Source organism: Homo sapiens, chromosome 2 (assembly GCF_000001405.40).
Source record: "Homo sapiens chromosome 2, GRCh38.p14 Primary Assembly".
Taxonomy (NCBI): Eukaryota; Metazoa; Chordata; class Mammalia; order Primates; family Hominidae; genus Homo; species Homo sapiens.
Genome location: NC_000002.12, coordinates 72,810,547 through 72,837,510, shown reverse-complemented (window position 1 = coordinate 72,837,510; position 26,964 = coordinate 72,810,547). Strand labels below are relative to the sequence as shown.

The window sequence follows — 26,964 nt, the reverse complement described above, 5'->3', positions numbered from 1 at the left end:
TAGGAAAATGCAATCAAAACAATAAGATGTCACTTCATACCCACTAGAATAGCTAAAATGAAAAGAACATACAAAACCAGGCTGGGAGTGGTGACTCATGCTTGTAATCCCAGCACTTTGGGAGGCCAAAGCAGGCGGATCACTTAAGCCCAGGAGTTTGACAGCAGCCTGGGCAACATGGCGAAATCCCATCTCTATAAAAAAGACAAAAATTGCCAGCGGTGGTGGCTTGCAACTATAGTGCTACCTACTCGGGAGGCCAAGGCTGGAGGGTCACTTGGGCTGAGTTCAAGGTTACAGTATATTATGATCATGCCACTACACTTCAGCCTAGGTGACAGAACAAGACCCTGCCTCAAAAAAAAAAAAAAAAAAAGTTAAACATAGAGTTACCATATGACCCAACAATTCTACTCTCTATGTAGCTACACAAGAGAATTGAAAACATCCAGCCTGGGCAACATGGCGAAACCCCATCTCTGCAAAAAATTTTAAAGATTAGCTGGGCATGGTGGCATACACCTGTAGTCCCAGCTCTTCAGGAGGAAGGCAGAGGTGGCTGAACCACCTGAGGTGGGAGGCTGAGGCTGCAGGGAGCCATGATCATGCCACTGTACTCCAGCCTGGGAGACAGAGTGAGACCCTATCTCAAAAAAAAAAAAAGAGAATTGAAAACATATATCCATATAAAAACTTGTATGTGAATATTCATAGTGGCATTACTGACAATAGTTAAAACATAGAAACGGCTCGAACGTCTATGAACTAATGAATGGATAAAGAAAACGTAGTATAGCTATACAATGGAATATTATTTGGCCACAAAAAGCAATGAAGTACTGATACATGTTACAATATAGATGAATGCTATGAACATTAGGGTAACTGGAAAAAGTCAGACACACAAGGTCGCGTTTTATATTATTCCATTTATACGAAATGTCCAGAATAGGCAAATCTGTAGCGCTAGAATAGTTTAGTAACTGGCTAGGGCTTGGGAGGTTGGGTTGAAATGAGGACTTACTGTTAATAGGTATGGGGTTTCTCTTTGGGGTGAAGAAAATGTTCTAAAATTGATTGTGTTGATTGTTGCACAATTCTTTGAATATACCGAAAACACTGAATCACAGAATCTATGAGAATAGGAAAATAGCTCTTGTTATATGCTGCTGCTGCTAAGTTTGGCATGACTTGTAACGTAGCAATAGTACTGGAATAAGGGAGTTCTCATACAGTGATGTCTTTTTTTAAATGAGGAGGAGTGAGGCAAACTACTCTGTGTGCATGTGTGCGTAGTGGAGTTCTAGAGCTTGAGAAAATTAGTGAGGTGTTTCCAGTCAAACAGGTAAATATGAATGTGAGTTTACTAGGGGCAGGTAGAAGGCATTGGGGAAGGGAGGCACACAGACCTTTGCAGAGATTGGTACCTAAGGGTAGTGGCAGCACCAGTTTGCACATCTGTGCTCTCTTCTCCAGTTGCCTTTGGCACTTCAGGTGCATAGGACTAGAGAAGGATGATTGATTCACAGTTGGCATTTGGAAGGCAGTGCAGTGAGAGGACCAGGGCCAGGCATTGAGGATGATGATGGAAGAACAGAACCATCAACTTTGTCTCAGAAAGCCTGTAAGGGATATAGAGTTATCAAAGGGAGGCCAAAGCTCATTTAAGGGGGGCAGTAGCAGGAGTATTCTGGGAAAAAGTTAAAAGAGTCTGGCTTAAAGTACAAGTCAGTAGTGAGGAGGAATTAAGAGCAGTGAGGGAGAGAGATAGTCTGAGGGGTTTACATTTGGAATAGTAGTCAGGGGGCCATTATGATTGGAAGCAAAGATGAAATTGTTCTGAGTCTGTCTTCTGAACCAAGCTCTGAATGAAGCTTGGAGGGCAAACTTCCAGAGACTGATCTTTGTCCCAGCCATGTTGGCACAAGGCAACCAGTCCATGGATCTGCTCAGGTGCAGTGACTCACCCCAGGTTTCTTGTCTTTGTGTAGGACTGGGCTGGAACGACCCAAATTTGTGGCTATTGAATAAATAATAATAGGTGGTGGTTTATCTGTCAGAGAGAAGATAGGAAGGAGTCAGAGCTGATTTTGTCATGAATTCAGAAATTCATTTAAAATATTGAGTTTTTACCCAGGCATAGTGGTATGCACCTGTAGTCTCAGCTACTGGGAAGGTGGAAGCATGAGAATCACTTGAGCCCAGGAGGTCGAGGCTACAGTGAACCATAATCGCCCCACTGCACTCCAACCTGGGTGACAGAGCCAGACCCTGTCTCAAAAAAAAAAAAAAAAAATATTGAGTTTGAAGTGGTAGCAGGATTTTAAGCAGAAATGCTCAGAAGGCAGCCAGCATCTGGGTCTGAAGTTTAAAGGAAAACTTTCAAAGTCAAATGTAAAATTATTTTTTACCCTCTGGGATTAAATGAGATCACTCAGGGAGAGAGTGAGAAGTGGCTAGAAAAGAAGGCTGAAAAGAGAACTGAGCTTGTAGATGGACTAAAAAACATGGTGGAGAAGACTAAGAAGCTCAAGTACAATGGGAGCAGAATTAGAAGAGTGAAGTGCTCCAGAAGCTAAGGTAAGATAAACTTTTTTGAAGGAAGTGTGTATCAGATAGCTATTGTCACAAAAAAGTTATGTAACCAACCAACCCAAAAGGCAGTGGCATACAACACGAAGTATTTGTTTCTCACTTAAGAGGCTGTGGTCAGCTGGGGTGGCTCTAATTTAGGCTGCAGTTTGTAGATTGGCTGGGTATCTCTGCTCAACATGTCTTTCACTCTTCCTGGACCAGTGGGCTATACTAGGTATGGACTTCTCATAGTGTTTGAGACCAGAAAGGCAAGAGAGCAAGACCAACCATTTAAGTGCATTTCAGGCCTCTCATTAACACTTGTCTATCCCATTGGCCACAGCAGGTCACATGGCTGAACCCAAAGTCAAGAGTCAGGGGATGATACTCCACCTGTAGTGGGAAGAACTGCAAAATCACCTGACAAGTGAAGAACTGGGAATACTAATGCAATGAACTACAGACAGGTAGTCAACCAGGCCTGCACTCTAACATTTTGTGAAGACTTGAGTTAAGGGTATGAAAGGGGGCCCACTCCCCTTTTCTTCCTATTTCTCGGTTCCATACAACATCTGCAGTCAACAATGTCAAATAATGAGTAGAGGTCAGGTAGGATGAAGGCTGGAAAATGCTTTTGGATTTGGCAATCAGAAAGTTTAGGATCACCTTGAAAAGTTGTTTGTCTGGAGTGGTTTGAGTTAAGACATTAAGAGCAAGGGAGAGGTAAAGAGGAGGAGTGTAAAATACATTTCCAAGGAGTGAAGGGAATGGAGGAACTGGAATAGCTCAGGGAGCCAGGTTGAGGGAATTACCTTTGGTTGTAAAGACTCAAATGTGTGTTTACTGGTCAAGATAAAGCAAAGAGGGGAGACTGAAGCTCTAAGAGGGAAAAGAGATTATGACAGGACTGTTACAAAGAGATGGGAAGTCGACTTTGGAGAATGACAGGCTCTCCATTACTTTTACACAGGACATGGGTGGAATTGGATGAAAAGATGGTGAAGGGGAGGGAAAATGAGGACTTAATGATGGATGGTAGGCCTGTTGAAAAAGTGAGAGACAAAGGTATCTCCTAAGAATGAGAAGGATGGGGAGTAGAACTAGGGTTTTAAGTAGAGAGGAAAAGCTTATAAATAGATTCTGTGAGCCAGGTGTGGTGGCTGGTGCCTGTAATCCCAGCTACTGGAGATGCTGAGGCGAGAGGATTGCTTGAGGTCAGGAGTTCGAGACGAACCTGAGCAACATAGTGAGACCATCCCCCCATCTCCACTTAAAATAAATTTTTGTTTAAAGAAAAAAATTAACTTGATGCTGTGAGCAGGATTAGAAGTCAAAGGTTGGGTGAGGAACCCTGAGGTTCCAAATGATGTTGAGTAACATAAATGTGTCTGTGCTAGTTGCCATGGTTACAGTCTTATTTCCTGATTTCAATAGAAGGGTGTCCTGTGTGTGACTGGCTGGGGCAGGTATGGCAGGTGGTAAAGGAATTTACAAAGACAGTCATAGGTAATGAAAGGCAGATTTATTCGAGAAAGTATGAAGATACATTGCAAGGTGCAATGGGCAGCATAGCAGAGAAGGAGTTGTCTGCAAAGAGGCAGGGGTTGGAGGGAAGTTTTTTAGAATCGTACTGGAGGGGGATATGTGCAGAATGAGGTATTGGGAACAGGATGTTGTGCCAGCGGGTTGTCTGTGATTAGTCATCTCTCAGAAAAATTGTTCTACCCATCTGGGACCCCTTCCTCATTGTTGCTTACTTATCTTATCAGGACTCCACAAAAGAGGAGAGATTGGCAATGTGGGTATGGTGGAAGATCAGTATGTTAAAGGAAGCTAGAAAATTAGAGAAGATTTAGTCAAATTGGTGGTTCATGGGGATACACGCGGGTAGCAGCTAACTTATTCCAACAAGCCCTGGGCTAGGCCCCCTTCCATTAATTATTTCTAATTCTTACAATTGCCTAAGGTATAGGTTATAAGCTCCATTCTTTTTGAGACAATGTCTTCCTTTGTCACCCAGGCTGGAGTGCCGTGGTGTGATCATAACTCATGGCAGCCTCAAACTCCTGGGCTCGAATGATCCTCCTGCCTCAGCCTCCAGAGGAGCTGGGACTACAGGCATGCACCACCACTCCTGGCTAATCTTTAAATTTTTTTGTAGCCATTGGGCCTCTCTATGTTGTCCAGGCACATTGGGTCTCTTTATGTTGTCCAGGCTGGTCTCAAACTCCTGGCCTCAAGCAATCCTCCCACCTCAGCCTCCCAAAGCTCTGGGATCACAGGTGTGAGACACCTCACCCGGCCTTATAAACTCCATTTTATGTTTGAGAAAATTATAGCTTGAGGAAGCCGTATAACTTACCCAAACTCACCCGCTGATTAATGGAGAAGCCAGGAAGCAAACTCAGATTTCTCTGAATTGAAATTTTGGATAGAAGAAATTCCATCCAAATTTGTCTTAGATAAAAGGAAAAGACACTAATGATTATATAGAAATCAGGGATTATCAGGATTAAAGTGCAGGTCTCATAGAAATTAGAAAGAGGAAGAGGTGTACAGAAAAGAGTCAGAGAGAGGAATTTAATAGTCCTGGGGGAAGAGCAGTGTTTATGGAATATAGCAGGTCCTTGAATAACCAAATAATGTCATTTTGTTATAATATTGGAAAATTGAAAGATAGCTCAGAGCTGTCTGAGTTTGTGAGTTATGCAAAATTTATCAGGCTGAGAGAGACCTGAGTATGGGGCATTAGTCCTACCCCCACACCCATGCTTGGGGCAATTGTTAAAATATATTTTGTTCCTGACTAGCTGCCTCACCCATTATCTTCATATTCCTGGAGTTTGTGACACAAAGAACAATTTATAGCCAATCAATAGCTTATATTATTTTAATGTAAATTCTTGGTAAACTTAGAAACTGCCTCTTGTTTTTTCCTTTAAAAACTCAATTGCAGCTGGGGGAGGTGGCTCACACCTGTAATCCCAGCAATTTGGGAGGCTGAGGCGGGTGGATCACCTGAGGTCAGGAGTTCAAGACTTACCTGGCTAACATGGTGAAATCCCTGTCTCTATTAAAAATACAAAAATTAGCCTGGCATGGTGGTGGGAGCCTGTAATCCTAGCCACTTGAAAGGCCAAGGCAGGAGAATCGCTTGAACCTAGGAGGCGGAGGTTGCAGTGAGCCAAGATCACGCCACTGCACTCCAGCCTGGGCAACAGAGTGAGACTCCATCTCAAAAAACAAACAAATAAACAAACAAACAAAAAACCCCACCCATTTGTAACTGGCCAGGTGTGGTGGCTCATGCCTGTAATCCCAGCACTTTGGGAAACTGAGGCAGACAGATCACCTGAGGTCAGGAGTTGGAGACCAGCCTGGCCAACATGGCAAAACCCTGTCTCTACTAAAAATATAAAAATTAGCTGTGCATGGTGGCAGGTGTCTGTAATCCCAGCTACTTGGGAGGCTGAGGCAGGAGAATCACTTGAACCTGGAAGACGCAGATTGCAGTGAGGCAAGATCATGCCACTGCACTGCATCCTGGGCAACAGGGCGAGACTCCATCTCAAACCATCCCCTCCCGCCAAAAAACCCCCAAAAAACCATTTGTAACTGCCACTAATTGAAGTGTGTATTATTCAGGGCAACTTGAATCTATGCTCCCAGGTGGCCCTCTTCAACCCTTGTGCTTGAATAAACTCTTTTTAAATTAGATTCTGAACTTTTGGATTTTTTAGGTTGACATTTGATGAGAAAAAAATAGATTCCCAGCCAGGGCCACTGTCTGTGCGGAATTTGCACATTCTCTCTATGTCTGCCTGCATTTTCTCCTGGTACTTTGGTTTTCCTCCCGGTACTTCAGTTTTCCTCCCACATCCCAAAGATGTTCACGTTAGGTTCTTGGCATCTCTAAATTGTTTCTGAGTGAGTGTGGGTATGTGTGTGAGTACACCCTGCCATGCAATGGCATTCTGTCCAGGGTTGGTGCCTATCTTGTGTCCTGAGCTGTTGGGATAGGCTCTGGCCCCCTGCAACCCTGAATTGGAATAAGCAAGTTGGAAAATGAATGAATACAACTTAATGTACAAGAAGACATCCTAAAGTATCTGATAATTGTTTGGTGCACAACAATAAATGATGCTGTACTAAAGCACTCAGTGATTGTTTTTGAACCTTGGGTAGGAGGTACTCCTTATAATTTTTGTCTTGTAAACATTTATTCCTTGATTTAACCCACCACCACTACAATTGCTGTCACTCACTGGTTCACCAAAAAGTGGGTAAATCATTATCTTATTTGTTTTTATTAAACTTTTAAAAATGTATATCTAGCTCTTATTTCAATATTTAGCAATGGAAGTGTTTTGGTATTTATTTAGAAGTTCGATGATGTTTTTGAGATCAGAAATAGGCTGTAGAAACTTAACTCTTGTCTATATCAATGAACTGTGGTAAAATTGGTTTCATTATACACAGTTTCGCTTAAAGTTTCAGTTTCCAAGAACCTAATGGTGATTTTAAGTTAGGACTTACTATATTAAGGTAGAAGGTGAAGCCATGAATGGATTGTCCATGTGGCACCAGGAACCTGGCTGGGATACTTGGGATCGATCAGTAAAGTCAGAGTGGTCAGCACACACAGTCCCAATGTTGAAATTCCTTGGGATCATGATAAGGAATGGGGTGGAGAGAAAAACTGTTGAATAAGGAAATTTCCCTGACCCCTTTGTGGGTGGGAACTGGAGTGCATGGGCACTGGCAGGGGTGAACTCCACTCACTTGCTGCTCTACCTATTGTGGGAGGGAGAGGGCAGGTGACTGTGTGCAGGAGCTGGGACGAGCACCTTTGGGCACCAGCAAGACCCAACTCCGTATTGGTCCTGTGGCAGTATCTAGGGGAGGGAGCCCGTGACCCCTGAAGCCCCAGAGGAAGTGTTACAGTGTCCTTTTAGCTTTGTCATCCATGGACAGCTTAAATGTTAGCAGCTCAGTGGAGGGTCAGTGTGACAGACTTTTGCACCTGCACCCGGCATCCAGGAGGAATGAGGTCACACAGAGTTGAAGATGGTAAATGTGGGAGATTTTATTGCTGAGGAAGATGGCTCTCAGTGGGAAGGGGAGCTGTAAAGGGGACAGAGCAGGAAGGTAATTTTCCTTCAGAGCTACTCCATCAAGCTGTCCCTTTGAAGTCAAGCCCCTTATCTCCAATGTTCAACCATAGTCTCTGATGTTCAGCTGCTTCTCCTCTCTGCCAGTAGAGCCTGGGGTTTTTATGGGCACAGGATGGGGAGCGGGGCAGGCCATGGGTGGCTTTGGAAAAGGCAACATTCGAGCAAGAAAACAGGGATATATGTTCTCACTTTGGTCTGTGGTTCCAGGCTTGAGGGTGGGGCCCTTGCTGGGGACCTGTGCTCCTCTGCCCAGAATTTCCCTACCTCCTGTCCCTAAAACTGTGAGCCAAGAAGTAACATTTCGGAGAAATATGGACATTAGTAGATAATTATGGCATAATCTGATGCCCTAGACTTCAAAGGAGAGTTAGGGAATCAGGGTGTTGAAACAACAGCCTAGATGTGGCAGTGGAGAGCAGTGAGAATGCTGATGCTGCCTATCTACTCATGCAGAAGAGAAAACCAGTTCATTCTAGGTAAGTGGAGGGATGTGGTTTTGTGAAGAGGTCTCCAAGGTGTTTTGGAAGGGTTCTGAGAAATGATACAATCCATTATATTAATGTAGAAGCAGAGATAGAGTGGCAGAATGGTCACATAATAAACTCGTGGCCGTGAAGGGCCTGGGTGGGGCAGCATGGGCTACTGGTTAGGAAATAGGCCTTTGAATCAGATTGACCTGGTTCGAATACCAGCTTCATTACTTAATGGATGTGAGATGTGGGGTGTTGCCTAATATTTCAGCTTTCTTATCTGTAAAATGGGACACGTGATTTTTACTGCAAAGGATTGTTGTAAGGATTTAATGAGGTTGATATATGTGAAGTACTTACTTTGTATATTGTGCTTGGCACACAGAAAGTGCTCAGTGCATTTTTTGGTTTGTTTTTGAGATGGAGTCTCACTCTGTCACCTAGGCGGGAGTGCAGTGGCGTGATCTTGGCTCACTGCAACCTGCTTCTCCCAGGTTCAAGTGATTCTCCTGCCTCAGCCTCCTGAGTAGCTAGGATTACAGGCACCTGCCACCATGCACAGCTAATTTTTATATTTTTAGTAGAGACAGGGTTTCACCATGTTGGCCAGGCTGGTCTCAAACTCTTGACCTCAAGTGATCCACCTGCCTCGGCCTCCCAAAGTGCTGGGATTATAGGCATGAGCCACTGTGCCCAGCCTGCTCAAAACATTTTAACCACTAATGCTGGAACTGAATCAATGCGACTCACATTCTTTCTATTTGGAGGACATAAACATTAGACAGGCCATCTTGCCATCTTCACTGGAGGTTTCCAATACTGCTTACTGCAGACTTGTTCCTGTTGCTGAGATGTGTGGCCTCTGGCCTCTGTGGAGGCTCACAAAAACTGCTGACAGTAGCAGAAGCTAGTTTAACTACTGCTGAATGTATGTCGTCTATGCAGCAGCCTGGATGGGTGAAAAACTTGCTGAGTGAGATGCTAAAATGGGTGTCTGAAGGGACCCTCGGTCATGTATTTCAAGAGATCTTTAGAAATACAAAAGGCTCCATACTCTCCCTACCCCTCCTACATCTGTTTGGAATTGTTTAAACATGAGTAATGAAACAAAACGAGGACAGGCAGAGATTATCTAGAGACAGACAGGTTTATCAACTTGCTCTCTTCTTGGCAAATCAGGACTTGTAACCCATTCCCCTTACTACTGGTTTGTTTATTTTTAAAATGCATTCTTAGGTCATGACTACTATTTTTATTAAAAAAGCAGTGCATGCACAAGGAAAATAATTCCAAGAGTGCAAATGATAATTACAAATTACCTTCTTACTACTTCAAACTCCTTCTTTCCAATTTTTTTTTTCCTGGATGCCATTACTGTTAACAGTTTTTTGGGCATTTTTTCAGACAGATTCTATCTATGTAATATTATATATATGTATATGTGTGTGTGTATATATATCAAAGCGTATATATGAATATTTATTCTTTTAAAAAACAAATGAGGACAGAGTCTACATATTGTTTCATGCCTTGCATTTTTCCACTCAACAACTACAACTTGGAGACAGTTTCATGTATGACCATAGAGTCTTTTGTCTTTCTTTTTAATGATTGCATAATAGTCTATAGTATGGTTGTAGCACAAATTATTTAGCCTAAACTTCCAGTTTGGTTCTTCTCTCATGCCTTTTTTTTTTTGTCAGTGGAAACTCTCTTCTACTAGTCACTCTGGTACTAAACCTTGGAGTAATATCTAACCTTTTTGGTATCTAGTAAATCCTGTCAATTCTCTCTTTTTGATGTTTTTCCTACTTGTTCATTCTTTTTCATTCTCATTGCTGCTTCCCTGGTTTAGGCCTTCTCATCTCCTACAGTGTTGCCTTATCTCCAAATTCTCTGTCTCTGCACATCTTGCACACTTGCCCTTCACCAAATTTCCTAACGCCCACATTTTGATTGTGTCACTCCTCTTAAAAACCTGCACCTCTAATCCCAGCACTTTGGGAGGCCGAGGCGGGCGGATCATGAGGTCAGGAGATCGAGACCATTCTGGCTAACACAGTGAAACCCCGTCTCTACTAAAAATACGAAACATTAGCTGGGCGTGGTAGTCCCAGGGCGTGGGCCCGTAGTCCCAGCTACTTGGGAGGCTGAAGTAGGAGAATGGCGTGAACCCGGGAGGTGGAGCTCACGGTGAACTGAGATCCCGCCACTGCACTCCAGCCTGGGCGACAGAGCGAGACTCAGTCTAAAAAAAAAAAAAAAAAAAATTAGCCGGGCGTGGCGGCGGGCGCCTGTAGTCTCAGCTACTCAGGAGGCTGAGGCAGGAGACTGGCATGCACCCGGGAGGCGGAGCTTGCAGTGAGCCGAGATCGCCCCACTGCACTCCAGCCTGGGCGACAGAGCAAGACACTGTCTCAAAAACAAACAAACAAACAAACCCCCAAAAAACCTTCAGTGCCTTCCCATTCATTGTGTTACGTAAAAACTCAAGCAATGATTAATAAATCCGATTTTTAAATTGTAACTGATGAGTTCATGAAATGCAGATGCCTGGATCAGAATCTCCAGATGTATGACTGTCAGTCAGTCTGTATTAAAAAAAAATGTTTCCAGGTGCTTCTGTTGCAGTTGGTTGTTGGATCAGTGGAACCATTAGAACAAAGTACACATTTATCAGCCCAGTATTTAAGGCTCCTCGTAATTTCTCTCCAGCGAACCTTTCCAGACCCATCCCTTACTACTACGTCTTTACACGTCAGTGCAAATGAAATTCTTTTTGGCTGTCTGGATTCTCCTCACACCTTCCAGTTATGCCTTTTAACCTCCGAAACCCAGTGTCTTTATGAAGCCTTGGCAACCAGAAGAGATCTCTGAACTCCATTATCGGAACTGGCTTACAGCTCACAGTTTTGAATTCTCCAGCTCCCCGTGTCTCCCCCACTAGACTGTAAGGCCTCTGTCAGACATTAAGTTAGACTTTATTATTCGCGCCGACGGAGCCTTGGCACTTTGTGGCAAAGGTGGTAAACAAGAATTTGTAGGTTTAGTGCCACTGCCTGACTTGATCATCACTGTTTACGCACTGTCGTTAACTGTTTTTGCTTACAGTGGGCTTCAACTAGTATTTGCGGATTCCATGTATGAATGAATGGAATCCAACCTAGCATTTCCCAGAGAACTACAAATCCCAGCGGACATTACGCAGAACGCCGACGGACGCGGTGACGCAAGGGGGCGTGTCGAGCCTGAGGGAGGGGTCGGCCTGCGGGTAGCCAGAGGCTGGGGCGGCTGTGGAGCCTGTGGTGGGAGCGGCATTGTGGGGCAGGGAAAAGGTGAGCCGAGCCGACGGAGGGGACGCGCTGCGGGGCGCCCCCAGTCTATGGAGCGGGGTAAGATGGCGGAGGCGGAGAGCCTGGAGACAGCGGCAGAGCACGAGCGGATCCTGCGAGAGATCGAGAGCACTGACACGGCCTGCATCGGGCCCACGCTCAGGTACCCCGGGTGCCGGGACCACAGAGGGGCGGGAACGGGCGGGACGGGGCAGGCTCCTCTGGGTCGGGCCTCCGGCCGGCTGTCCCCAGGTCCGGCGCCGGCCCCTCCCTTCGGAGAGACCCTGCATACCGGGCGAGGCGGGTCTCCCTTCGCAGCCCCGACGCGGGGTCCCTTCCCGGCGCCCTACAGCCCAGTGACTCAGGACCCTCCCGCTGCCTCCCTCGGGGCAGGAGCAGCCTTCGTTCTCCCTCCGAGGCTGGTCCGGCGCTGGGGAACGAGAGGGCGCCCGACAGATGGTGGTGGCTCCCGGCAGATCTTCCCCCTGGGGACATCACCCTTCTCCCTCCGTCTCTAACTACGTCCTGCCCTAGACAGGAGTCCTGCTCTTCAGACAACACAGAATTTCACTCCATGGTCTAGTGCTCGAAATCAAAGTCTTGCCTCAGAATCACAGCCACTTCTCAGAAACGAGTCCCTGGAAATCCTAGGCCTGGATGGAAGTTTCCCCAACCCGCGCCCCTCTCCTGGGAGCCGCTGCTCCTTTATCCCTGCCTCCCTGTTACGAGGACGACCCTCGCCCACGGTGCAGCCTCCTCATCGCTGGGGAAAACTGACCCTGCTGCCGCCCCCCAGTTATCATTTTTTTTTGCACGCACATCTCCATTTTATTTGGAGATGTCAAAAGAAATCCCTACTTACCTCAACTTATTTAACAAATTTAGGTAGCACTTGTTACATAAAGTCCAAGACGTTGTATAAAGTGATTTACAAATGCAACTTATTTAAGCTACAAAACAACCGTATTAGGTAGGTTCTATTACTCTCCTTTTACAGACAGGGCACAGATAGGTTAAGTGACTTGCCCAAGGTCACAGAGAAAATAAAGTGGGGGACTCAGATTCCTACTCGGATAGCCTGGACCCAGACACTTAACCACTGTTTTGCCTCAGCTGGGGATTATCGGCTACCTGTACTTACTGTTGGTAACTACTCACTAAGCCCAGTTTTGAACTACTTTCCCCCTTCCCCTCATGTTACTGGTGTCCTAGAACCAACTCATCCTTATCCCTTACTGTTATGCATTCTGATCATGCAGCCAATACATAGATAACTATCCTACCCTCCTTGCACAGTCTTGGGTCACTGCCCCTCCCATCAGAAAAGTTATTACTCACTGCTTGCGTTTTCTTGGGGTAAGTTGACTCAGGAAAGACTAATTGGAGGGCAGGCTGGAAATTACTCCTCCTCTCCACTTGCACAGCTTCCTTCTCCAGGACACATTGTTAGCACATTTCTGCCAGTACCACCCCTGGTCATAACTATCCTTAGTAGTTTGCCTTTTGTCTCTTTATTTATTAAAAGCAATGGCAAAAACCGCAATTACTTTTGCACCAACCTAATATTCATTTATTGAGAGAGGGTCCCCTTTTGTCTCCTAGGCTGCAGTGCAGTGATGTGATCGTAGCTCACTGCAGCCTTGACTTCCTGAGTTAAGATCCTCCCACCTAAGCCTCCTGAGTAGCTGGGACTACAGCTGTGCACCACCACCACACCTGGCTAAGTTTTAAACTTTTTGTAGAGATGGGATTTTGCCATGTTGCCCAGGCTGGTCTCAAACTTTTGGGGTCAAATGATCCTCCCACCCCAGCCTCCCAAAGTGTTGGGATTACAGGCATGAGCCACCGTGCCTGGCCCCTTTGTCCCTTAAAGTGACTTTTAGCTCCCTTTTTTGGACCAGTTCTTCCACACAGTTGCCTGTCTCTCCACCAACCCCCATTGCCTTATGATCAGGACCATTGTGCTTTTCTCAATTCCCATTTTCTTCAGCTCTTAAGGGTCAATGGTCCTACACACATTTTCCTGTATACTTCAAATCATCTCTAGATTACTTATAATACCAAATATAATGTAAATACCATGTAAATATATGTTATACTGTATTGTTTAGGTAATAATGACAAGACAAATGTCTGTAGCATGTTTAGTGCGGATGCAACCATCCTTCTTTTTTTTTTTTGGGACAGGGTCTCACTCTGTTGCTCAGGCTAGAGTGCAGTGGCACAATCGTCACTGCTCACTGCAGCCTCGACTTCCTGGTGATTCTCCCACCTCAGCCTCCTGAGTAGTTGGGACTACAGGCGTTCGCCACCATACCTGGCTAATTTCTTATATTTCATATAGAGATGGGGTTTCACCATGTTGCCCAAGCTGGTCTTGAATTCCTGGGTTCAAGCAATCCACCTGCTTTAGCCTCCCAAAGTGCTGGGATTACAGGCTTGAGCCACTGTGCCTGGCCACTGTCTTTTTTTTTGTTTTTTGTTTTTTTTTTTTTTTTTTTCTTAAAACTTTGATTTGAGAAGTTGGTTGAACCTGCAGATACAGAGGGTCAACTGTATATACATTACGGTTTAAATATAAGTTACCCAGTCTCCCTAAAACTTGTTTCATTGTTGTTACTGAGTTTTTTCACTGAAAAGTGGGGTTTTGTGTAGATAGATGGATTAAGAGGTCTTTTGCCCTAAGGGGACACTGTAAAAAAAAGAAAGTTTGAGACTCATTACCAGTTTTACTTGCTTTTCTTGACTTCCTATATGATTATTATGGGCTCATCATTTTTGATCTCAACTTTTTTTTTTTTTTTTTTTTTAGCAGATTACACTGAGTCTTACTGTCAGACCCAGGGTTCATTCACTTGAATATCCTATAATACAAGGAGTACCCACTGCCTTTGTCTTTAGTCTAGCTGTCCCTACCCATATTCATAGGGGATGATCTCACCTTTTTTCCTTATCCCGTTCAGAGGCAGCAGCATGCACAGACTTGATGTTTCAGATCCCATGCCTTACTTGGGATGTGCCTCTATTGTCATTATCTCCTGTTTTTCATCACTATCATGAAACAGGTTTGATTAAGGCAGTAGCTCTCTTGCCTTAACTACTCTCAGTTGTAAACCTCGAACTTTTCTTCTTCATAGTATGTCTTTCCTCTTTCTTCATCTTTTGAGGTAACATTGTAAAGGCACCAGATTCTTAACTGTTCGTGAGATGGGTTTTCTAGCTGAAGAGAAACTAACGAACACAGAAAGTAAATTGAGAGCAGATATTAGATTAGTATATCCCTAAAATACCTGCTCTTCAAAAAAATCCACTTGGCTGTATTGCCTAACCAGACTCTTTCCTTTGCCAGCTATTATTTGTGTATCATTACTTGCTTTCTTTCTTTGCTATGATACGGATTATTTTTTCCAGTCTTACTCCTTTTTGTTTGAGGAGTCACAGTGGCTTGACTTTTTCATTATATTACTGTTATTACTTTAGTTTTGAGCTGTACATGCAATGTTGGTAGATTCCCATCTATCATAAGGATATACCACCTCTTCTTTTTCATTGTAATTCTGAAAGGCCCAAGCATATCCACACATAAAGAGGGTGTTGCCTAGCAAACTCTTTTGGGAAAGTAGCTATCTCTCTCTTTGTCTTTACCTTAAAAATTATTTTGTTATCTGTGAGTCCTAATTTTGGAAAGAGGCCTGTAAGATGTTAAAGCCTGCCTGTCCTGTTTTTAAAATAATGTTCATTCCTGCTTTGTGTTATAAATACTAAAATTTTGATGACAAATCATTTATGAACAATAGCTCCCTGTTTTCATTTTTCAAATCCCATCCCTATATCTCTACTTTTCCTTTATATCACTTACTCAGTAGAAGTCATTTCTTCACTTGGTACTCTGGGTAATAGCAATTAACATTCAGTCTAATTGTTGTTTAAGATTTTGTTTTCAAACTTAAAATTTAATATTGAAATACATTGCCATTAAAAAACAACTATATTGAGATATAATTCATGTATCATACAATTTACCCATTTAAAGTATACAATTAAATGGTTTTGGGTATGTATATTCGCAGAGTTGTGCAGCAATCACCACAACCTAATTTTAGAAAATTTTCATTACTCAAAAAGAAACCTTGTACCCATTAGTGGTCTCTCCATTCTGTTCCCTCTCTCTCCCTAGGCAATCACTACTTTTCTTCATGGGTTTGGCTGTTCTGGACATCGGGACATTTTGTATAAATGGAATCAAACAATATGGGTTTTTTTGGTAACTGAATGTTTTCAAGGTTCATCTATGTGGTAGCATGTATCAGTACTTAATTTCTTTTTATCGATGAATAATATTCCATTGTGTGGATATACCACATTTTATTTGTTCATCAGTTGATGGACATTTGGGTTGTTTCCATTTTGGGGCTGTGGAACAATGCTGCCATGGCCATTTGTATACTAGTTTTTGTAGAGACATATGTTTTCATTTTTGTTGAGTATGTACCTAGGAGTGGAATTTCTAGGCTGTAAGGTAACTCTATGTTTAACATTATGAGGAACTGCTAGACTGTTTTTCCAAAGTGCATGCGCCATTTTACATTCCTGTAGCAATGTATCAGGGTTCCAATTTTTCCACATCCTTGTCAACACTTGTTATCATCTTTTTTACTTTGCCATCCTTGTGGGTGTGAAGTTGCATTTCATTGTAGTTTTGATTTGCATTCCCGTAATAGCTGTTCTTTTCATGTGCTTATTGGTCATTGTTTATCCCTTTTGGATCCTTTGCCCGTTTTTAAATTGGGTTATTTGCTTTTCTTTTTTTGGTTGAGTTGTAGGAGTTCTCTATGTATTCTGAATATGTCCTGTTATCAGATATATGATTTGTAATACTATATCCTATTCTGTGATTTGTCTTTTCCATTTTTTGATATCTTTCATGTTCTTAGCTTTTGCTGCACAAAAGTTTTTAATTTAAATTAATTCCAGTTATCATTTTTTTTCTTATTTTGTTTCATGCTTTTGATGTTATATTTAGGAAACTTTTGCGTAATGCATGATCATGAAGATTTGCTCCTATATTTTTTCTAAGTGTTATATAATTTTATCTTTTACATTTAGATCTGTGATTCATTTTGAGTTAATTTTTGTTTACAATGTAAGGAGGAGTGTCCAGTTTCATTCTTTAGCATGTGGATATCCAGTTGTTCCAACACCATTTGTTGACTGCTTTTTTTATTTTTTAAAAAACCCAGATTCCTGGTTGATTTATTTTGATCTCCTTATCATGATTTATGTTCCTTATTTGTGGCAGAAATGTAACATTGAAAACCCTGTTATTGAGTTTATGTGATTTTTGCTAGCTAGCCTAACTTCCTTCATTTAGTATTCTCACCCAGGGAAGTTTGCTCTAGTTTTCAGCGAAAGTTTTTCTCTTTTTGGCTCAATTCCTGTATCATAAGAATGATTTGATTCCTATATTTGATCTTGGTAAATAACTTTAGGGACTGATTATTGTCTTCTGGAATTATTTTGTGTCATACTACTCAGTCTTATGTAACATAAAGTATATTAATGATACAGTTACCTTTTTCACTGTTAAAACAGTATGTCAACATATGGAATTTGGAAACTAGATTAAAAATTGCTTACAATTCTATAACACAGCTGCTGTTGTTTTGGTGCTTTTCCTTCTAGAACTTTGCCTTATATATTTTATTATTACAAAGCTTTACTTATGGGTGTAGGAATAATTTTCTGTCTTGCTTTTTTAAGTTGTTTGTTTATAAAGCTAGCTCTTTATAAACAAGAAACAAATTGAGGGGGATATTTTCAAAAGGCTGTTTTATTTAAGGTCATTTGATAAGTGAATATGGGGATGTGGCATCCACTTACTACTTCTGTGCCTTTGACCACATGGCTCTTATTTTTCCATCCAGCACCCTCTCCCATTAATTCATCTTTACAGAGATCAGTTAATCATAATCCTTGGTTCGTGACACTTTCTCATTATAGGTCCATGGCTCTCTTTAATAAATTAAATCAATTTATTTTTATAAGCAACTTACCACCCAAGTGGGCAATTTTTTCTCATCTAAAAAGTGATTAGAAAAATGAAGATAAAGCATCCTTCATGGTACAATGCAAGGTACCAAGCTAGGACTACTGCCTAGCAGGTAGCATGAATGATGCTTTCTCTCTCTCTCTCTCTTTTTTCTTTTCATACTCTTCCTCCAATGTAGATGGGGTGCCATGGTACCTGCTAGGCATTGGTCACTCAAGTGTGAGTCATCTTCCACCTTTACCCTTGGGTTTGCTATGTGGACTTAAGTATTTCTATTTTTTGAGTTTTGTTAGTTTAGTGGTTAGCCTATTTTTTTTGTTTCCTTTTCCTGGTCCCACATATCTAAGGGATATAATACTTATCAATAATCAATCCTGGGAGGGGTTATTTTGGGGTGGAGCAGAGAAAGGAGGAGGAGATAGGAAATAAATATATAAAAGCCCTTCAGGTGATTGTGATATACTCCGTCCTTGACAATCACTGAGGGGAAGAACATTCCCATTGCTCATGCTTATTTTTTAATAGTAGTGCCCTTTTAAAAATGACATTTTTATATTTTAATTATAAATGTAATAGAATGACTTAAGAAGAAACAACAACAAATAACTTAATTCTATTACCTTTCCACCACTTTTATATTTTTATATTTCCTCTTAACTTTTTTATATGCATGTTATTATATTAAATATTAGATGATTATTATGTGTCTTGCTTTTTCAGTTAACATGTTATATACAGGTTTATACATTATAATGATGTCACTTTAGTGGCTTTATTAATGAATTGATTCATTCATATATTCATTCAATATTGAGCAATGTCTATGTGCCAGATACTCTTCCAGGCTCTGGGGTACAGCAGGCAGCAATATAGACAAGTCCCTATCCTTATTGAGCTTATAGAGTCCGGAGTGGGCACTTACAGAATAAATGAATAAATATATAATGTAGTGCTATTTAGCGATTAATGTTACATAATGACTGGGTTATTGCTTTCAATTAGGGGATTAGGAAAGGTAGCTTTGGCAAAGGTTTGAATAGAGTGAAGCAACAAGCCATATGGCTCTCTGTGAGGGAAATACCTTCCATACAAAGGGGACAGTAAGTGCCAAGGCCCTCAGGAAAAGGATAACGGTGGGAAGTGGTGGTAAGAAAGTAGTCAGGGTCCAGATCATGTAGACTAAGAAAGAGACTTTGATTTTATTCTAAATGTTATGGAAAGGTACAGGAGAGTTTTTATTCTGAGCATTATGGGAAAGTACAGGAGAGTTTTGAGCAGGAAAGTGACATGTGGTCACTTAGATTAAACAAGGAATGTGGCCAGGTACAGTGGCTCATGCTTGCAATCTCTGCACTTTGGGAGGCCAAGGAGGGCAGATCACTTGAGGCCAGGAGTTCAAGACCAGCCTGGCCAACATGGTGAAACCGTGTCTCTACTAAAAATACAAAAATGGCCTGGCACGGTGGCTCACGCCTGTAATTCCAGAACTTTGGGAGGCCGAGGCGGGCGGATCACGAGGTCAGGAGATCGAGACCATCCTGGCTAACATGGTGAAACCCCGTTTCTACTAAAAATACAAAAAAAAAAAAAAAAAAAAAAATTAGCTGGGCCTGGTGGCAGGCACCTGTAGTCCCAGCTACTTGGGAGGCTGAGGCAGGAGAATGGCGTGAACCTGGGAGGCGGAGCTTGCAGTGAGCCGAGATCGCGCTACTGCCCTCGAGCCTGGGAGACAGTGCGAGACTCGTCTCAAAAGAAAAGAAAACAAAACAAAAATTAGCCTGGCGTGGTGGTGGGCACCTGTAATCCCAGCTACTCAGGAGGCTAAGGCAGGAGAATCACTTGAACCCAGGAGGTAGAGGTTGCAGTGAGTGGAGATCGCACCACTGAACTCCAGCCTGGGCGACAGAGCGAGACTCTGTCTCAAAAACAATGACAACAACAACAACAAACAAACAAGGAATGTTCTGGCTGCTGTGTGGAGACAGAGTAAGAGAGGAAACAGGGAAACCAGTTAGGGGATGTTTGCAGTAATAAGAGGCAAGAGATGGTTATGGCATGCAATATGGTAATAGGGAGGAGGTGATGAGAAGTAGCTGGATTTAGAATATGTTTTGAAGGTAGTGCCAAAACGATGGATTAGTTATGGGAATTAAAGAGAGGATCAAGGATGATTCCAAGGCTCTTGGCCTAAGCAATCAGATGATGGTGATGCCAATTATTGGGATAGGGAACAATAAAGGGAGGAACTTTACTTTTCTTTGAATAACTTATTACAGCCTGACATTTTATTTTTGATTGTCTACCCTGTTGGAATGTCTGTTCAAGGGGGGAAGGGATTTTGTTTCTTTTGTTTGCTGCTGTATCCTGGGAACCCAAAGGGTGCCTGGCATATAGTTGGTGCTCAGTAAATATTTGTTGAACGAATAGAAGAATTAAAAAATTGTATCACCAACTGTTAATTATCTGGGAATTAATTAACTGATTTGCAGATTAACTGTCTTAAAAATATGACTTCTTTTTGAGAGAAAATAAAACTAATGAAAATTTCAAAAGCCTCTACATATCAGAAATGTTTTTTATAACTACATATAACTTTATAGTTCTTCTTTCTCTTCATCAGTCAGAAGTGTAATCTAAAATAATTTTTAAAAAGCCTGTCATTCCTCAGTGTTCTTTGTAGTGCTGTCAAAAGTTTGCAGGTTTAAGAATAGTAACTCTAATGATGAAAGCATTATGATCTGAGTGCATGTTATATAAATAAAGCTTAACATTTAGCAAAAAGTTGAAATTGTACATTTGGGTAAAAAGGGGTGGATAATGTTAAATAAGTTTCATTACAATATGGAATAGGAGAATAAATTTTTTTGTGGTTTGATAAAGAGAAACTTGTTTTTAAAAAATGTCCTCATTGAGTTATCAAGCAAACTGGAAAAATGAAAAAATTATGAAGAATCTGTGGCTAATAAGACAATGTTGATTTGGTTCAGTTAGCTAGCAATGGGCTCTGTGTTTGATTTTGTTTGAGTTAAATAGACAACAATTTTCATTGAAGCTCTTCCAGTGGAGGTTATGCTGATTTGTTATCTGATTGATTAGATTCACACCACAGAAAAATTAGTAGCCATAGAGAGAAATTAAATGGGAGTGTAGCATTTGCTAAGTATTCCTGTATTAAATTTCAAGAGTTTGTTAGTTATCATCAGATCAAATATGTAATTCTGAGGAACCTGAGCTCCTGGAAATCTTATCTACTGTAATTTTGAAAATAAAAAATGATATAGGTAAATTATCTTGTGTGGGTTTGAAATATTTTATTTAAAAAGTGGAAAGAAAAGGATATGAATCATAGATCTAACAAACATTTTTTGTCTCATTCCTTCTATTTCCCCATTTTATTCGTTTGTTGTTTATTCTTCCATTGCTTTCTTATGCAAATAGGAGCATATATTATCTTATTTTCTCCTTTTTACAAAATAAATAGTGTTATTGTATAGACTTCTGCAGCTTAGTTTTTTAGTTATACATATATTTTTGAGATTTGTCCATATCAGTATATAGAGGTTTTCCTTATTTTTTTTAAATAGCTACATAGTATTCCATTATGTAAATATATCATGGTTTATTAAACTAGTTCTGTTTCTGGATATTTGGATTATTTCCAGCCTTTTGCCAGAAAAAATAATGCAGGAAGGGATAGCCTTGAATATTGGTCATTTTTTATTGCACATTTCTTTTTTTATTTGTTTTGTTTTTGAGACGGAGTCTTGCTCTGTCTCCCAGAGTGGAATGCAGTGGCGCAATCTCTGCTTACTGCAACCTCCGCCTCCCGGGCTCAAGCGATTCTCCTGCCTCACCCTGGCGAGTAGCTGGGATTACAGGTGCCCATCACCACGCCCGGCTGATTTTTGTAGTTTTAGTAGAGAAGGGATTTCACCATATTGGCCAGGCTGGTTTTGAGCTCCTGACCTCAAATGATCCGACCGCCTTGGCCTCCCAAAGTACTGGGATTACATGCCTGAGCCACTGCGCTAGGCCTATTGTACATTTCGTACTGTATCTATAGGATAGATTCCCACAAGTAAGATTGCTAAGTAAAATGATGAATATATCTGGAATTTGGTAGGTATTACCCACTTTAGAGGTTGTACCATTTTGTTCTCCCTCTAGCAGTCTATGAGATTGCTCATTTCTTTGTAGCTCTTTCAATAAAGTTCTCCGTAGCTTTTTCAACAACCCAAAGACTTTTGGGCTTTTGTCAATATGATGTGATAAGTAGTGTTTCAGTGTAGTTTTTATTTTTATTTTTCTTATTGTGAGTGAGGCTGAAAATCTCACAATAATATGTTTAAGGGCTTTTGTGTATGTCTTTTGCTTATTTTTCTATAAGGGGGATATTTTCTTTTTTCTTTTTTTTTTTTTTGAAACAGGGTCTCTCCCTCTCTTGTCCTGGCTAGAGTGCAGTGGGCAATCTTGGCTCACTGCAACCTCCGTCTCCTGGGCTGAAGCGATCCTCTCACCTTAGCCTCCTGAGTAGCTGGGACTACAGGTGCGCGACACCACGTCCAGCTAATTTTTTGTATTTTTGTTTGAGACGGGGTTTCGCCCTGTTGTCCAGGCTGCTGTCGAACTCCTGGGCTCAAGCCATCCGCTTGCCTCGCCACCCAAAGTGCTAGGATTACAGGCGGGAGCCACCGCACCCGGCCCGGATTTTTTTCTTTTTGATATTTGGGCGCCCAGGGTAAAAAACCTTTGATGGTTATATGTTGCTTAAATGCATGACGAGTATGTACAGTGGAATTAGTTGTGATTGGTAAATAAACCATTGTTTTTAAGAAACGAAAGTTTCAAACCTGCCTCTTTATTATTTTAGTCATAAAGAGGTATCAGTAAACAAAGCCATTTTATTTTATTTTATTTTTTTGAGACGGAGTCTCGCTCTGTCGCCCAGGCTGGAGTGCAGTGGCACGATCTCGGTTCACTGCAAGCTCCGCCTCCCGGATTCATGCCATTCTCCTGCCTCAGCCTCCGGAGTAGCTGGGACTACAGGCGCCTGCCACCACGCCTGGCTAATTTTTTGTATTTTTAGTAGAGATGGGGTTTCACCGTGTTAGCCAGGGTGGTCTTGATCTCCTGACGTCGTGATCCACCTGCCTTGGCCTCCCAAAGTGCTGGGATTACAGGCGTGAGCCACCACGCCCGGCAGAATTATAATTTTTTTAAAAAATTGAGATCTGTTAACTCCCAAGAGGACAATGATTTGATGAAAGAAATTTAAGCATGTAATATAAATTGCATACCTGCAAACCTGTTAGATCTTTAAAATATACATTACGCAGTGAAACATTTAAGGGAGCAAGAACCATCACAATGCAACTAACTAGATTACCTTAATTTGATTTATGATAATACATATGGACTGGGACTCTGTTAAAACACCTACTTGTCATTCAGTCTTGAAGATCATCATATTGACATGCACTTTGAACTTGCATGAATTTACCTTCAGTTACTACTGTGGTTTGATAATTGATTAATTATTACATAAAAGCAAAAACAAAAGCAACGACAACAATAACGAACTTCTTTTATAACAGTTCTATCATTTCAGTATTTAGACGCTTCCAGTGTTTAGAACTCTAAATAAATGTTCTATTGTACGTTAGATAAATGATGAAGGCCATTTGCCAAAAGTGATGATTTGGATTAAAATATAGGCTCTCTTTCATTATATAGTTTTTGATTAAAAAGCTGTGGAGGAACACAGACTTTCAATTTGACCTTGTTTTCACAGGCCTGGAACATGACAGATTCTGTGACTCACGCATATCTTTTGGTACTATGATATTGTGTAGTGGCATACTGACATCTTGTTGCACATTCCAGCCAAGTCTCTTTCTTCTTGTTGTTCTCAACATATCAGTTTTCAAAACTTGCTTCTTTATGTTTTTTTTCCCTTTGCAAATTGTGCCTTTGTTTCTTTCCTCCTCTTTGTGCTTGACTTTGTATCTCCCTACCACTTCCTGTAACTTAGAATTTTAAAACACACATTGTCCAGTGAAATATCTAAACGAGCAAGAATCATCACAGTGCAAACCAATTTCTACTTCCTGGGGAAGCTCTGATGCTAATAAACAATGAAATTCTAAAGATATTGATATGAAATGTGGTCTTATCAAGCAATATGAGTGAAGAAAAACAGCAGACATTGGGCTGGACTAAATTTATCCTATGAAAATTTTTGGTATGGAGTTTGATTTAAGGAAAGTCATATTTATGGAATACATTTTTTAAAACGGAAAAAAATAATGCAGCTAGCCAAGTATTTTGTTTTTGGTCAGGTAAAGGATTTCCTTGACATTTGTAAGGAAGAGGTATACAATGATCTTTTGGCATTGGAGTAGCAAAAATAAGAGGAAAGTGAAATGAGAAAAGCTCTTGAAACCCCAAGAAAAATAGATTATTAGAGGCATTTTAAATGATAAATGTGGATTTGATGGTATACTTTGTTATTTGATATTTAAAATTTGGCTGGGTGTGGTAGCTCACCTGTAATCCCAGCACTTTGGGAGGCTGAGCAGGAGGATCACTTGAGCCCAGGAGTTTGAGACCAGCCTAGGCAATATAATGAGACTCTGGCCTCTACAGAAAACAAAAATTAGCTGGGCATCGTGGCATGCACTATAGTCCCAACTAACTAGGGAGGCTGAGGTGGGAGGATCACCTGAGCCCAGGAGGTTGAGGCTGCAGTGAGCCAATGTCATGCCACTGTACTCTAGGCTGGGTGACAGAGTGGCATCCTGTCTCTGAAATAAAGAAGTAAGTACAATTAAACTTTTGAGATAATTATAGAATTCATATGCAGTTGTAAGAAATAATACAGAGATCCCCTTTATTCTAGATACTAGTCTATTGGATATGTGGTTTGCAAATATTTTTTTCCTACTCTGTAGCTTGTTTTTTTACCCTCTTAAAAGGGTCTTTTGCAGATCACAAGTTTTTTTAATTTTGATGAAGTCCAGCTTACCAATTTTTCCTTGTATGGAGCAGGCCACTGTCTTTATTGGTGTAGCTATATGTAATATCCTGATACTGGTAGACTGATTCTTCTTTATCTTTAATCTTATCAGAATATTTTAATCTTGTTTTATCAAAAGTTTTAGCTAATGTTTCTTTGCCTTTTTATATAAAATTTTCTATAAATTTTTATTTATTTATTTTTTAGAGATGGGGGTCTCCCCCAGTCACCCAGGCTGGAGTGCAGTGGTGCAATCTTAGCTCACTGCAGCCTCTAACTCTTGGCTCAAGCTATTCTCCCACCTCAGCCTCCCTAGTAGCTGGGATTACACACACAAGCCACAGTGTCAGGCCACCTTATATGTTTTTAGAATAATCTTTTCTACATCAGCAAAAAAGTCTGCTGAGATTTTGATAGAAATTGCATTAAATCTAAATGTCAGTTTGAGGAGAATTGACATCTTTACTAATGAGTCTTCCAATCTACAAATATTGTATGTATTTCCATTTATTGAGATCTGTTTTGCTTTCTTTCAGCATTGTATTTAGCATACAAGGTTGGCACATATTTTGTTAGATTTATCTGCAAGTAATTCATTTTCTTTTTTTAAGTGATTTTAAATGTTATTGTATTTTTAATTTCGGCGTCTGTGTCTTCATTTTCTATTATATAGAAATGCAATTCATCTTTGTATGTTTACCTTGTATCTTTGTGATCTTGCTGGACTCATTTGTTAGTCTAGGAGTTTTTGTGTAGATTCCTTGGAATTTTCTGTGTAAACAATAGTGTTATCTGCAAATGGAGAGAGTTTTAGTTATTTTCCAATTTTTATGCCTTTTATTTCCTTATTTCACTGGCTAGAACATCTAGGACTATGCTAAGACTGGTAAAAGTGGATATCTTTGCCTTTTTCCTGATCTTAGAAGGAAAGCATTCAGTCTTTTCTCATTAAGTATCATGTTAACTTTAGGTTTTTTTGTGGATGCTCTTTATCAATTTGAGGAAATTTTCCTCTATTCCTATTTTCTGAGAGTTTTTATTGTGAAAGAGTGAATTTTGTTAAATGCTTATAATGCATCATTTTATATGATCATGTGATTTAAAATATTTAGTCTGGTGAAATCTGTTTTGAACATTGAATGAACCTTGCCTCTTTGGAATAAACCCTACTTGGTCATTGTATACACTTCTTTTTATTTGTCTCTGAGTTCTATTTGCTGATATATTGTTAAGGATTTTTGATCTATACTTATGAGAGATATTGGTCTATAATTTTATTTATTTTTTATTGTCTTATGTCTGGTTTTGATAGAGTAATAGTAACTTCTTAAAATGAATTGAGAAGTAGCGCCTCACTCCTCATCTATTTTCTGGAAGAGATTTTAGAATTCATGCTAATTCTGCTTCAAATATTTTGTAGAATTCTTCAATGAAGCCTTCTAGGCTTGAAGATTTTAAATTGCAAATTCAATTGACTGTGTAAATTACTGTGTCATATTGGTGAGTTGTAGTCTGTATTTTTTGAGGAATTGGTTTATTTCATTTAAGTTGTTAAATTTATCGTGCCTTTTTTTTTCTTTTAAGCAGAGTCTTGAGTCTTGTTCTGTCACCCAGCTGGAGTGCAGTGGCACGATCTCAGCTCACTGCAACCTCCGCCTTCCAGGCTCAAGAGATTCTCATGTGTTAGCCTCCTGAGTAGCTGGGATTACAGGTGTGTACCACACCTGGCTAAATTTTTGAATTTTTAGTAGAGACGGGCTGGTCTTGAACTCCTGGCATCAAGTGATCCTCCCACTTCGGACTCCCAAAGTGCTGGGATTACAGGCCTGAGCCACCCCACCTGGTCTATTGTGTTGTTTTTTTTTTGATATGAGGTTGCTCAGACTAGAGTGCGGTGATGTGATCTCGGTTCACTGGAACCTTCACCTCCTAAGTGATCCTCTCACCTCATCCTCCTGAGTAGCTGGAACTACAGGTGAGTGCCACCATGCCACCACTTTTTGTACTTTTTGTCAGGGCTTTGCCATGTCACCCAGCCTGGTCTTGAACTCCTGGACTCAAGTGATCTGCCAGCCTCAGCCTTCCAAAGTGCTACTATGCCTGGCCTATTGTTTTCTTTTATTATTGCTTACTGACGTATGGTTATATTCCCTTTTTCATTCTTTATATTGGTATTGTGTCATATTTTTTGATTTGCTACATATTTGTCAATTTTATGGTTTCAAAAAACCAAACTTTGATTTTCTCCGTTGTTTTTCTGTTTTAAATTTTATTGATGTCTGTCCTTATTTGATTATTTCTGTCCTGCTGCTTACTTTGGGTTATTTTACTTTTTTCTTCCTAGGTTCTT

General features: G+C 40.9%; 1 protein-coding gene across 11 annotated transcripts in view, besides 3 other annotated features; it reads left to right on the top strand.

Annotated features, from left to right (window-relative positions):
• EXOC6B (exocyst complex component 6B) overlaps positions 11,478–26,964 on the top strand; it is a 650,050-nt gene continuing 634,563 nt past the window's right edge. For all 11 annotated transcript variants that reach the window (NR_135774.2, NR_135773.2, XR_007071495.1 and 8 more), the window contains exon 1: positions 11,478–11,713. Coding sequence is in view for 7 of the 11 variants with exons in the window: in NM_001321733.2 (NP_001308662.1) it covers positions 11,601–11,713 (113 nt within the window). In the remaining 4 variants the exon portion in view is untranslated. The remainder of the gene's footprint in view (positions 11,714–26,964) is intronic.
• Positions 11,717–11,886: a silencer, noted in NCBI's record as "silent region_11625". NCBI's record gives its function as "represses an Ori minimal core promoter by ATAC-STARR-seq in GM12878 lymphoblastoid cells {active_cell/tissue: GM12878}" and the evidence as "EXISTENCE:reporter gene assay evidence [ECO:0000049][PMID:35858748]".
• Positions 11,973–12,483: an enhancer, noted in NCBI's record as "H3K27ac hESC enhancer chr2:73052157-73052667 (GRCh37/hg19 assembly coordinates)". NCBI's record gives its function as "activates a minimal SCP1, AML or CMV promoter by ChIP-STARR-seq in naive H9 embryonic stem cells {active_cell/tissue: H9 hESC(naive)}" and the evidence as "EXISTENCE:reporter gene assay evidence [ECO:0000049][PMID:30033119]".
• Positions 12,077–12,126: an enhancer, noted in NCBI's record as "active region_16020". NCBI's record gives its function as "activates an Ori minimal core promoter by ATAC-STARR-seq in GM12878 lymphoblastoid cells {active_cell/tissue: GM12878}" and the evidence as "EXISTENCE:reporter gene assay evidence [ECO:0000049][PMID:35858748]".